General features: G+C 37.2%; 1 long non-coding RNA gene across 2 annotated transcripts in view, besides 1 other annotated feature; it reads left to right on the top strand.

Moving 5' to 3' along the window:
* Positions 1-14,565, top strand: part of ZFPM2-AS1 (ZFPM2 antisense RNA 1) — a 280,094-nt gene that overhangs the window by 95,956 nt on the left and 169,573 nt on the right. The gene's annotated exons all lie outside the window — the stretch shown is intronic.
* Positions 9,795-10,994: an enhancer, noted in NCBI's record as "MED14-independent group 3 enhancer chr8:106965782-106966981 (GRCh37/hg19 assembly coordinates)". NCBI's record gives its function as "activates an origin of replication core promoter dependent on BRD2, BRD4, P300/CBP and CDK7 cofactors, and independent of MED14, by STARR-seq in HCT116 cells {active_cell/tissue: HCT116}" and the evidence as "EXISTENCE:reporter gene assay evidence [ECO:0000049][PMID:35650434]".

The following is a 14,565-nucleotide window of genomic DNA, read 5'->3' as shown; positions in this document are numbered from 1 at the left end:
TGAGTTGATACACTAAAATTCTGGTCAAAAAATGCCAACACATAAGTTTCAGAGGAACACGATAAAATTCTGAGTCAATTCAGGTACACATTTGGTGAAAATGTTCATGAATGCTTTTTGATTCCAGTTGATTAAATTTGATTGGACACTCTGGAATGAAATTATTTGTCCTCAAATGGCTGATAACAGCTTCACCATGATCAGTGTGAGATACACTTAAAATTTTGAGCTCCACTAAGAAGTCTTTGAAACATGATTATAAGACAGCTACGTCAAGCTCTAACTGGACAGAGTAACTACCAATATGAATTGATTTTCAAGAGCATCTGTTAAGGTACTTTCTCTAAAACATCTCATTCCAGTTTCTTTCCCCCCCTCCCTCCCTCCCTTCCTTCCTTCTCCCTCCCTCCCTCCTTCCCTCCTTCCCTTCTTCCCTCCCTCCCTTCCTTTTCTTGATAAAGTATTACCCCCACATTTCCACTAAAATTTCAAATGGGAGTCAACATTCTGTGCATAAAAATGGAAGTAGCCTAAAAATCTATGTGTTCATTGGCCAGTGTTCAGGGAGCACTTACTATGTATTCAATTTGAACTGGGCACTATTTTAGCTACTAATTACATGGAGCTATTCAAATGGAATAAAACTAAAATTCCTCAGTTGACCTAGCCCCATTTCAAGTGCTCAGTAGTCATACGTGACTAGAGGCTGTAGTATTGGACCATGGAGATAGAGGACATTTCCATCATCAGAGAAAGCTTTATTGGGCAGCACTAGGTGCTGATGCTCCTAGATGCTCTGCGGAATTCTAAAAGTATTAATTTCAGTTCCTGTCTTTAAATATTGCTTTGTTCGGTTAAGAGAACAAGACTAACATACACAAAGCAATAGGCCTGCAGTGCAGATAAGTGGACAGTTACATGACAAAACAGAGTAGACTGACTCTAAGTGCATTGGGAACTATATCATAACGTCATAGGTTAGAAAAAATTGGAAGGCAATAATAGAAGGAAAGCCAACGAATGAAGGAGTAACCAAACGAATAACACCATTCTACAACTCTAAGACAGGGAGGAAGGTGGTTCTGTTTATGAATTTGATTAGATGCTCCAAAGCCTAAAACTCAACATTTCAACTGGGTCTATGTGGAGTTAAGAAAGCAAGAATCATCATGTATGTAGCTTAGCACAATGAAGATGCTTCTTATGCCTCGCAGGCTTTACAAGGCAAAGTTGGAAAGAATTGGAGAAGAAATCTGAACACAGTATTCATTCATATCCTCATGCGGAATTATCACAATGAAAAATACCACTTTGCAAATTAAGGGATAGCTAGGAAAGTGTTTCTTTGCCTCTTGATGGGATGAAATCCTGTTTAGAAATTACTGTTTTTGAGAGTCAACATCTGCCCTTGGGACTTGTGTATGTTTTATGTATGTGCTGTGTCTAATTCAACAAGTATCTGCAGAAAAACTGAAAGAATAAAATATTTCCAACTCCATGGATCCAAAGTCTAGGAAAGGCACTGAATTTTAAAGAACCCACACCTTCATATCTTCCCTGACATTTTCTGCAGGACTTGAAAAACAGAAACTACTGCTAATTGTCTTGCTGATGATTCCAGGGCATTATTTTAGATGCACTTACTCAAACACAGGGAAACATATTGTTTGGGCAGTGGGGCTGGATAAGAACTCAAAAGTACATTAACCACAAGGGCTAGCCAGGGTTTCGAATTTTTTCCTTCTTTGATACTTTGTGACATTAAATAGCCCAAGTGGGGATTATATCATAATCTCCCGGTCTTGTTGGGGCCACTTCACCGATGGAAAAAGGTCAAACATTATAAACAATTTTACTTAGAAATTTAGAACAAATACACATGAGTGCCTTACATCTGGAAGTTAATTGGATCTAGAATTATTTCCTGAGACAATCTCAGCACCTGGAGATTCTGACTCTTTAACCTTGGAACAATCTCAGCCTCTAAGTAGCTTGCTGAGTTACCACTAGACTGCCAATTAAGGTTCAGTGAGACTGGTAATAGAGTGTAAAATGTGGTGCGTTTTAAAAATAATTACTATTGTCCCAGGGAAATTGTCTCAGCATTGTATTTGTGTCAATTGATGCATATGAGTGGATATATCTTCAATAATGCAAATACTGTTTTCTGCTTGTTTGTGGGTAGGTTTCATGTATGTCTGTTCTCTCTTCTTCAAAAACAACTCTACTTTTCCTAGGTTTCTGGTTTTTCCATGCTATAGCGTTAGCTTTACAGCATTTTTATATAGCTGTAAAGCTGTATAAATTGTATATAGCTTGTATAGTTATTTGTTTTCCTGTCTAAATCCGTAACATCTCTCTGTTGCTTAAGACTGACAATCATATTTGTATGTCCCATTGCTACTTAGTATAGTGTCTTACATAAAACAGGAGCTCCATAAATATTTGTTGTAGTGGAAATTAAAGACAGGCTGCTACTTTAAAGCAAACACAAATGAAACTTGCTTGTTTTCTAATCTTTTAGCTGCTGTTGCTTGTGTTTGTCTGTTAGCATTGGTGGGCATATCTGCACGTGATGTACCTTTAATATAATTTAGTCACCACAAACCAGTGATCTGTTATACATAATGGGATGAATTTGCATAATGTATATTACCTTATGTTGGCAGCATCATAGTGCCAAACAAGAATTGTAAATCCAAATAATATTAAGTTTCTCATGTACTAAGGTGATATGATTGATGTACATAGAGTGAGACTTCAGAGTGAGCCAACATATGTAGGTTTTTAGTAATTTACTGATCTTACTTGATTAGTTTACTACGTACCAAATAGGACTAATTTCAGTGGTACTTTATCACATATTTTTCAGAGGTTTTATGTGAAAGTGCCTTAAAAAAGTAAAATACAAAGGTAGGTAACATTACTTTTCTTTTCTAGCAAGAATAATAACTTGCAGTCTTTTTCAAGTTAAAAATCACATGTTTACCCGGTAGGCTTAGGGATATCTGCCATAATCATGAAAGAGAAAAAATCCTGGTTTACATGATACAAGTATCATGATTTTGATCTTGCTATCAAGATCCTCTAAGGAACCCTAAAATACCCTACTTAGGCATCAACCATATAGAATACTAACATGAATAAGGTCAAGGATACTATTATTTGAACCCATTGTGTTTTAGACACTGTCTTAACACATCATAAACATCACTTTGTCTCTTTTAATCCACACAATCACCTTGGGAATCAGGAATTCTTATCCCTGTTTATGGATGAGGCAAGTGAGGCTTAGCAAAAATATATAGCTTGCCCCAAGTCAGATCATGAATATGTCAGACAACTAGTATGATTTGATTACAGGTTTGTCTGATTCCAAAGCTTAATTGCCATATGGCCTTCCAGATTCGGAAATAAAAATTCAAGAGCCATGAAAGTGATGCTTCAGCAACGTGGAACTCCTACAATTCTCAGCACACCTCAAGTTGTTTGTTGCCTCCAGTCTTTTCTCCAAGTTTCTCACTCATTCTTGTTTATTCATTCCCTTCCTTTCCCCACACCACACAAACCAGAATGAATTGTTCCAGTCTTTGCCACCCTTTAACACTCACTTGAGAGCATCTCCACTCCCTGCAACCCTCACTCAGTCTTGACAAAATGGGACCCCTATGTGCAGCCATGGGCACACATCTATCATGACACGTACTGTGGGGAATTGCAGTTATTTCTGATGTTTCATTCTCCTTCCCTAGACCATGAACAACCTGAGGGTAATAAAAACATATGTATCTATCTCTTACTGTAGCCCAGTATAGGCTACATGACATAGCTCAAAAATGTGAGTTGAACTAAACTAATTAAATCATTCAATTAGTTGGGTTTCTTTGCATTATGCTTTGCATTTAAGATGATATTAATTTAAACAATAAAATAGATACATACCAAGATTACACATTTGTTCAAACAACATGAATAATAGCCATAATACTGTACATTAGGTTTTGGCAAGAGAAGCTTTAAGTTTAAATATAATCAAATTTAGCTGCTAAATTGGATATATAATAGTGAAAATAATATATTACATCCAATACTATATATTAATTAGATATGTATATAAACTGCTATATTGTAGTTATGAACAAGGACAGCAAAAAAAACCATTCTTACGAGATCAAGTAAGGACTTTGTTATATTTGCAAATTATCAAAGATAAAAATATATTTGTTTTCAGAGAAAAGTTTTTCATAAATATCTGTTTATTTGGGAATTTCATTTATAAGGTTAAATAAATTTTTAATTACATAGTATAATAATAAAGGACTGCACCTATTAATACAAGTTTAGATCTGAATCTCATTTTCATACAGTTAAGAAAAAGCTTTATATCTATAACTGAAGGTTATTTAAAATACCAGTAAGTTTTCAAATATACTTATTTTCAGTCTAAGCAGTTTAGCTTTGTCTAAAAATTATAGCGTACATTAACATATTCGTAGAGAAGTGAGAGAAGGGGAATATAATCTCTATTTTATGGACTACTAGAACAAAAAAAATTCCACTTATATGCAGGCAGGAAATTTAAAGTCCAAATTATAGAATTAAAAGGTACATATATTTTCTGATTGAATTATGAATAACAAAAGATACAAAAATATCAGAATTAAAATATTAACCATTTGAAAAGATTTACTCAGAAGACCCTTCATGTACATTTCTCATTTGTGTTGGTGGTTTAGTAATCTCTTTAACCGTGATCTTATGAAGGTACTCAAAAACTGCAATCCTTGAATTATGCTATTAAAGATGAATATTTATAAGATGATAAAATCTATGTATTTTATTTCTAAGACTAATTAACACTTTACTTTTGTTATATAATAAAGTCCCACTTGTCCAGCTGGTAGACTTCTGCCAAGCACAAAGATATGAGCATAGTTCCAAATAGAGACATTAAAATCATAACCTCTGGTTAACAGGAAATTAACTGCTTTAAGCACTTTGAACCAGAGGAAAGCATAACTCAGATCAGAACTCATTGACTTCTTATTTTTTTCTTTTTCTTCCAAATTTGTTGTCTTTAGTTGTTTTTGTTTTTGTTGTTGTTGTTGTTATACTTTAAGTTGTAGGGTACATGTGCACAACGTGCAGGTTTGTTACATATGTATACATGTGTCATGTTGGTGTGCTGCACCCATTAAGTCGTCATTTACATTAGGTATATCTCCTAATGCTTTCCCTCCCCCCCTCCCCCTGCCCCACAACAGGCCCCAGTGCATGATATTCCCCTTCCTGTGTCCAAGTGTTCTCATTGTTCAATTCCCACCTATGAGTGAGAACATGCGGTGTTTGGTTTTTTGTCCTTGTGATAGTTTGCTGAGAATGATGGTTTCCAGCTTCATCCATGTCCCTACAAAGGACATGAACTCATTCTTTTTATGGCTGCATTGTATTCCATGGTGTATATGTGCCACATTTTCTTAATCCAGTCTATCATTGTTGGACATTTGGGTTGGTTCCAAGTCTTTGCTATTGTGAATAGTGCCTCAATAAACATACGTGTGCATGTGTCTTTATAGCAGCATGATTTATAATCCTTTGGGTATATACTCAGTAATGGCATGGCTGGGTCAGATGGTATTTCTAGTTCTAGATCCTTGAGGAATCACCACACTGTCTTCCACAAAGGTTGAACTAGTTTACAGTCCCACCAACAGTGTAAAAGTGTTCCTATTTTTCCACATCCTCTCCAGCACCTGTTGTTTCCTGACTTCTTAATGATCGCCATTCTAACTGTTGTGAGATGGTATCTCATTGTGGTTTTGATTTGCATGTCTCTGATGGCTAGTGATGATGAGCATTTTTTCATGTGTCTTTTGGCTGCATAAATGTCTTCTTTTGAGAAGTATCTATTCATATCCTTTGCCCACTTTTTGATGGGGTTGTTTTTTTCTTGTAAATTTGTTTGAGTTCTTTGTAGATTCAGGATATTAGCCCTTTGTCAGATGAGTAGATTGCAAAAATCTTCTCCCATTCTGTAGGATGCCTGTTCACTCTGATGGTAATCCTGAGTTCTAGTTTGATTGCACTGTGGTCTGAGAGACAGCTTGTTATAAATTCTGTTATTTTACATTTGCTGAGGAGTGCTTTACTTCCAACTATGTGGTCAATTTTGGAATAAGTGGTGATGTGGTGCTGAGAATGTATATTCTGTTGATTTGTGGTGGAGAGTTCTGTAGATGTCTGTTACGTCCACTTAGTGCAGAACTGAGTTTGATTCCTGGATATCCTTATTAACTTTCTGTCTCATTGATCTGTCTAATGTTGACAGTGGGGTATTAAAGTCTCCCATTTTTATTGTGTGGGAGTCTAAGTCTCTTTATAGATCTCTAAGGACTTGCTTTATGAATCTGGGTGCTCCTGTATTAGGTGCATATATATTTAGGATAGTTAGCTCTTCTTGTTGAATTGATCCCTTTACCATTATGTAATGGCCTTCTTTGTCTCTTTTGCTCTTTGTTGGTTTAAAGTCTGTTTTATCAGAGACTAGGATTGCAACCCCTGCCTTTTTTTGTTTTCCATTTGCCTGGTAGGTCTTCCTCCATCCCTTTATTTTGAGCCTATGTGTGTCTCTGCACGTGAGATGAGTCTCCTGAATACAGCACACTGATGGGTCTTGACTCTTCATCCAATTTGCCAGTCTGTGTCTTTTAATTGGAGCATTTAGCCCATTTACATTTAAGGTTAATATTGTTATGTGTGAATTTGATCCCGTCATTATGATGTTAGCTGGTTATTTTGCTCGTTAGTTGATGCAGTTTCTTCCTAGCATCAATCGTCTTCACAATTTGTCATGTTTTTGCAGTGGCTGGTACCGGTTTTTCCTTTCCATGTTTAGTGCTTCCTTCAGGAGCTCTTGTAGGGCAGGCCTGGTGGTGACAAAATCTGTCAGCATTTGCTTGTCTGTAAAGGATTTTATTTCTCCTTCACTTATTTTCTTGTTTATTTGCATAGTTTGGCTGGATATGAAATTCTGAGTTGAAAATTATTTTCTTTAAGAATGTTGAATATTGGCCCCCACTCTCTTCTGGCTTGTAGCATTTCTGCTGAGAGATCAGGTATTAGTCTGATGGGCTGCCCTTTGTGGGAAACCCGACCTTTCTCTCCAACATTTTTTCCTTCACTTCAACTTTGGTGATCTGACAATTATGTGTCCTGGAGTTGTTCTTCTTGAGGAGAATCTTTGTGGCATTCTCTGAATTTCCTGAATTTGAATGTTGGCCTGCCTTGCTAGGTTGGGGAAGTTCTCCTGGGTAATATCCTGCAGAATGTTTTCCAACTTGGTTCCATTGTCCCCGTCAGTTTCAGGTATACCAATCAGACGTAGATTTGGTCTTTCCACATAGTGCCATATTTCTTGGAGGCTTTGTTTGTTTCTTTTTACTCTTTTTTCTCTAAACTTCTCATCTTGCTTCATTTCATTCATTTGATCTTCAATCACTGATACCCTTTCTTCCAGTTGATCGAATCGGCTACTGAAGCTTGTGCATTTGTCACATAGTTCTCGTGCCATGGTTTTCAGCTCCATCAGGTAATTTAAGGACTTCCCTACACTGGTTATTCTAGTTAGCCATTTGTCTAATCTTTTCTCAAGGTTTTTAGCTTCTTTTTGATGGGTTCAAACTTCCTGCTTTAGCTTGGAGAAGTTTGATCATCTGAAGCCTTCTTCTCTCAACTTGTCAAAGTCATTCTCTGTCCAGCTTTGTTCCATTGCTGGCAAGGAGCTGCATTCCTTTGGAGGAGAGGTGCTCTGATTTTTAGAATCTTCAGCTTTTCTGCTCTGTTTTTTCCCCATCTTTGTGGTTTTATCTACCTTTGGTCTTTGATGATGGTGACGTACAGATGGGGTTTTGATGTGGATATCCCTTCTGTTTGTTAGTTTTCCTTCTAACAGTCAGGACCCTCAGGTGCGTCTGTTGGAGTTTGCTGGAGGTCCACTCCAGACCCTGTTTGCCTGGGTATCAGCAGCGGAGGCTGCAGAACAGCAAATATTGCTGAACAGCAAGTGTTGCTGCGTGATCGTTCCTCTGGAAGCTTCATCTCATAGGGGTACCCGGCTGTGTCAGGTGTCAGTCTGCCCCTACTGGGGGATGCCTCCCAGTTAGGCTACTCAGGGGTCAGGGACCCAATTGAGGAGGCAGTCTGTCCGTTCTCAGATCTCATACTCCGTGCTGGGAGAACCACTACTCTCTTCAAAGCTGTTAGACAGGGACATTTAATTCTGCAGAGGTTTCTGCTGCCTTTTGTTTGGCTATGCCCTGCCCCCAGAGGTGGAGACTACAGAGGCAGGCAGGCCTCCTTGAGCTGGGGTGGGCTCCACCCAGTTTGAGCTTCCCAGCCGCTTTGTTTACCTACTCAAGCCTCAGCAATGGCGGGCGCCCCTCCCCCAGCCTTGCTGCTGCCTTGCAGTTCAATCTCAGACTGCTGTGCTAGCAATAAGCGAAGGTCCATGGGCGTGGGACCCTCCAAGCCAGGCGTGAGATATAATCTGCTAGTGTGCCGTTTGCTAAGACCATTGGAAAAGTGCAGTATTTCTGAGAGACAGGACTAGCTGGATTTCCTAGGATGACTAAGAATCCCTAAGCCTAGCTGGGAAGGTGACCGCATCCACCTTTAAACACAGGGCTTGCAACTTAGCTCACACCCAACCAATCAGAGAGTTCACTAAAATGCTAATTAGGCAAAAACAGGAGGTAAAGAAATAGCCAATCATCTATTGCCTGAGAGCACAGCAGGAGGGACAAAGATCAGGATATAAACCCAGGCATTCAAGCCGGCAACAGCAACACCCTTTGGGTCCCCTCCCTTTGTATGGTAGCTCTGTTTTTACTCTATTTCACTCTATTAAATCTTGCAACTGCACTCTTCTGGTCTATGTCTGTTACGGCTCGAGCTGAGCTTTCACTCACCATCCACCACTGCTGTTTGCCGCCGTCACAGACTCACCACTGACTCCTATCCCTCCAGATCTGGCAGGGTGTCCACTGTGCTCCTGATCCAATGAGGTGCCCATTGCCACTCCTGATCGGGCTAAAGGCTTGCAATAGTTCTGCACAGCTAAGTGCCTGGGTTTGTCCTAATCGAGCTGGACACTAGTCACTGGGTTCCATGGTTCTCTTCTGTTACCCATGACTTCTAATAGAGCTATGACATTCACCGCATGGCCCAAGATTCCATTCCTTGGAATCTGTGAGGCCAAGAACCACAGGTCAGAGAACACGAGGCTTGCCACCATCTTGGAAGTGGCCCGCCACCATCTTTGAAGTGTTCCACCACCATCTTGGGAGCTCTGGGAGCAAGGACCCCCGGTAACATTAGGGTGGGAGTGACCCATTTTTCCAGGTGCCGTCTGTCACCCCTCCCCTTGGCTAGGAAAGGGAATTTCCTGACCCCTTGCACTTCTACGGTGAGGCAATGCCTCTCCCTGCTTCGGCTCACGCTCGGTGGACTACACACACCATCCTGCTCCTGCCCCCACTGTCTGACGAGCCCCAGTGAGATGAACCCGGTACCTCAGTTGGAAATGCAGAAATCACCTGTCTTCTGCATCGCTTATGCTGGGAGCTATAGACTGGAGCTGTTCCTGTTCGACCATTTTGGAACCGCCCCCCTTTACAGAACCCATTGACTTCTATAAGAGAGTAGGTAATTGGTTGAGTTGAATTTTGCGCTGCTTCCAAATTTAGCGATTTATTGCTTCTAATAGAAACAAAGTCAACCAGATAGGTGAGTTCCTGTATATTTGTGTACACATCATCAACATTTAAATCTATAGTTAGAATATATTAATATGTAACTTTATGAGTATACACAAACTCTAAAAATCTAGGAAGCAAATTTCTTCTTTTTTCATCTTATCCATATCTCATCCTCATTAAATATCTCTAGTAAAGTCCCAACAATCCCCTGAAATTTTCTCTGATAAGTTTAACCCATGTTGCTTCCTCCTCAGTCTGGGATTTTGTTCTTTACACAATTAAAATGTTTTCTTATGACAACTTCTCTAATGTCATTAGCATTTATTTCTGAACATGAGGCTAAGTCATTAATTCTTTTATGTATGTATTTCTTATTTCTATTATAAAACAACAATAATATTATGGATGATAACCCTATCATACTTTTGTGGCACATCACAATAATTTTTGTGGCACTAGGATTATTGACAAAAGAGAAAACATGATCTTTATGATGTAGTTTATATTCTATTAGAAAAGCTAATACTACATACAGATTATGATGCAATCTTTTGCCTGATTGGATCATGTTTAGATGAATAAGATGGCTTTTGAAGTCCTCATCAAAATCTCTGCAGATGAGTGAAGTGCATTTCCAATGCAAGACTGTAAAATACATGAAAATGTATGCAGTATGAATGTAGAAACATTTGTAATAACAATGATAAAGTTTTTTAAATTAAAGACATAATTGTTCTTACTATGCAGCCATAAAAAGGATGAGTTCATGTTCTTTGCAGAGACATGGATAAAGCTGGAAACCATCATTCTCAGCAAACTGAAACAGGAACAGAAAATCAAATACTGCATGTTCTCACTCATAAGTGGGAGCTGAACAATGAGAACCCATGGACACAGGGAGGGGAACATCACACACCAGGGCCTGTTGGGGGGTGGGGGACTAGGGAGGGATAGCATTAGGAGAACTACCTAATGAAGATGACAGGTTGATGGGTGCAGCAAACCACCATGGCCTGTGTATACCTATGTAACAAACCTGCACGTTCTGCACATATATCCCAGAACTTAAAGTATAATAATAATAAAAAAATTTAAAAAGCTCTAGTTAAAATGGGAAAAGCCAACATATTACTATTTCAATATGAATACAAAAAAGCCTTTTAAATTGATGCTTTCAAATACTAAGTTTTTATGAGATTAATTTTTATGAAAGAACCCAGTACTTTTGTTAAAGCCATTTGAAATACGCTCTTCTCAATCATAAATCTCTATCATTTCAAACACATTACAAAACCAGGGACTTTTAGATCCTCTACTGTGTATTTAAAACTTCCTTTACCTTCATCTTAAGTACTCTTTAGAAGTCCAATACCCACCGTAGATTGTTGTCACTTAGCTTTTATTCAGGACAATAATGAGTGTGGCTGGGGAATACATCTCTGAGAAGGTGGAATTTTAGCTGAGATCTGAATTATGACAAAGAGCCAACCATACGAAGATCTTTAAAAATCTTGCCGTAGTGAGAAAAAGACAGAGAAGACAGAGGTCCTGAGGCAGGTAAAATTGAATAGGTTCAAGGAACTGAAAAACCAGCCAGAGTGGCTGAAACTTAGTAAGCAAGCAGGAGCAGTCTGCAGTGGAGTTGAAGAGGTAAACAAGGGACAGATAATGTAGACTCCCTATGGTGTCATTCTATTCAGCTTCATAAATTAAACCCATGATGAATGATGGCAAGTTCAAGTTCATAAGAGACTATACTGTGTCCTGTGCTCAATGTCGTTGGTTGCCAGATTAGAAATTGCCTGGGATCAATAGTGGAGCAGAATTGGTCATTTTATTATACTTATAAAAGATACTCAGTTATACTTTTCTTCCTGGAGTCAATTTTTTATGTCAGTCTAAAAACTAAAATAAATTGATATGTCAAAATCCATGCCATAAACATTCTTGTTTCCAAGAATGTCTCCTCTAAATTATATATTGGTTATATTTATTATTTTTAATCAGAATTTAATTGCAATACACCCTTCCACTTTGGGTGAAGAATAACATGAGCTAGCAAATGTTTCTGCGAGATGCTTTTTCTTAAGTACATTTTTAGCTAGTTGTATTGAGTTGTACTCTCTACCTCCAGTTGCTCTATTGCAAAGGTTGCAACAAAGTAATAGAGTCTAATTTGATTTTTTTAATTTTAAAGAAGAAATCAATTCCTTTAGTTCGATATATGACAGGATGTCATTTTGATCAATGTCCCCTTAGCTACACTGAGGCTGCTTAATTTTGATACAGGTTGGACAGAATTTATCTTCAGTGAGGAAATCTGACAGGACATGTAATGCTGTAGTAACAAAAGTAGCATTATTTTAAGGGGACTCTTATCAGCTCCTGATAACAACTTTACATTTCAGTGCCCTGCCAAGTCAGGCTGCTGGGAAAGGGTAGGTGGGGCTGGGAGGGTGGGTGGGGAGGACATGCAATGAGGTTCAGGGGAATGGAGCAAAAATGAGTCAAAAGGCCTGGTTTTGAAGGAGAGATCTATCTCCTAATTGTGTAAATTGGACCTCAATGTTGTATCAGATTCAGTTTTCTGATCTCAGATATGGTGTTAATAATGATATTTCAAATTTTAATGAACCACAAGAAACTTTACATAATTCTATGCAAAGTAAATTTGAAAACAAGGATAAATACATATAATTTTTTGGCAAATTTTGAATTTACAAAAACAGACTCTTAAAGAATTAGAACATTTTACCGGACGAATTCCCATAGGAGATCAACTTGTCACAGTGTTCCACCAAATTACAAGGTCAGGTGGCTTCACAGAGAAATTTTACCAAACCTTCCATGAGCCAAAATTCAAATGTTACTTAGGTTGCTTCACAGACTAGTAAGAGAAATAATTTTACAAAATGAGTATATCAATATGTGATGATGTTAGTCTTCAACAGGAGACTACAGACCAATACCACTTGTGCCTATCAATGAAAAAATTCTAAATGAGGAAGCAGAATCCAGCAGCATACTAAAAAATAATATATCTTGAAAAGGCAAGATTTACTTATTCTAATAGTGCAGAAACAGTTGAATATTAAGTGATATATTAATCATATCACAGATGAAAAACAATTCTTTGATCATGTCAATAGAGGTTGTAAAGTCATTTGACAACATTCAATAAAAATTCTTGGCAAAAGCAGTTAATAAATTTTAAAATGCAGACTTTTCCTTAACATGATAACTATCTCAATCCAAAGACCAACATTCTTAATGGCAAATACCAGATATTTCTCTACTAAAGTCAAAAACAAACAAGATTATCCTCTATCCACATTATTATTTAACATTGTTCAAGAATTACTAGACAATAAAATTAGACAAAAATACATTATAAGTATGAAAATCAGAGATAATAAATTCAGACTATCAGTATATGCAGATTGTATCATTTAATAAACCACAAAAATCTGGGTTTTTTTTCTGAGATTGGGTTTTGCTCTTGCTCAGGCTAACTGCAGTGGCACTATCATAGCTCACTGCAGCCTCAAACTCCTAGGCTCAAGTGATTCTCCTGCCTCAGCCTCCCAAGTAGTTAGAACTACAGGAATGTGCCTCAATGTCCAGCTGATTCCTTAATTTTTTGTAGAGATGGGGTCTCACTAAGTTAACCAGGCTGGTTTCCAATTCCTGGCCTCAAGGTATCCTCCCACCTCAGCTTCCTTAAGTGCTGGGATTACAAGGTGTGAGCCACAACATGCCAAAAATCTAGTTTAAAACTGGTACATGCAATATGGTATTTGAGTAAGGTGGTAATATATAGAATATACAAAAATAGTATGACCTTGATATATAACTAGTATAATTTTCATAATGACATAAAAATCATTAGCATAAACTGTTAGAAAATACAATTGAAAAAATAATTTGCAATATCAAAAGAAAAGATCAAATAGCTAGAAATAAAGCTAAGACATATTAAAGACATATGAAAAACTTTAAATTACTTCTGAATTATACAAAGGAAAATTTGGATGAATACATACAATATAATAAAATGAGATCCTAATAAAAATATAATGTGATCTCAAAAAATTCACCAAGAGCCTTTTTTAACTAGAAGAACTAATTCTAAATTTTTATTGGAAAATGAGCAAACACAAATAGAAATGGAAACTGAAAAAAAGAAGGGCAATGAGAGAAACGAGTCATGTTGCATATTACAACATCATATACATCCCATAATTAACACAAGGTGACACAGAAAGAGCAAAAACATCAGAAAACAGATAAAAATATACTCAAGAGTTTAGCATACGAAAATGACATCTAAAATCACTAAAAACATTAGTGCTTTACCCAGTAAATATTGTTGGCACAATTGGACAACTTTCTAAAAAATACATCCGAACCCATACTTTAGAGTACATACCAGTAAAATTCCAAATAAATTAAAATTTTAAATATAAAACATAAACCATATATGTAATGTGAATTAATTATTTTATATGCTTGGGGTAGTAAAGGGCTTTCATAATATGGTTTGAAATCCAGATGCCATGAAAGAGAAAATTAATACATTTTCTACACAAGAGTAAAACATTTCTGCATGGCAAAACGTGAAAGTAAAGTCAAAACATAAATAACAAAGAGGTAAAAAACTTTTGTGCTTCATATCCAGATAGTAAATAATTTTTCTAATGTAAAAAGAACTCAAATTACTTCATAGAAGACTAAAATATCAACAAAAAATTAGAGTAAGAATATCAACAGAGGGTTCAAGGAAAAGTAAGTACAAAAACTTATACAATAT

The sequence above is a fragment of the Homo sapiens genome, chromosome 8 (assembly GCF_000001405.40).
Source record: "Homo sapiens chromosome 8, GRCh38.p14 Primary Assembly".
Classification (NCBI taxonomy): domain Eukaryota; kingdom Metazoa; phylum Chordata; class Mammalia; order Primates; family Hominidae; genus Homo; species Homo sapiens.
The sequence above is the reverse complement of the archived record's forward strand: the minus strand, read 5'-3'. Positions and strand labels throughout refer to the sequence as shown.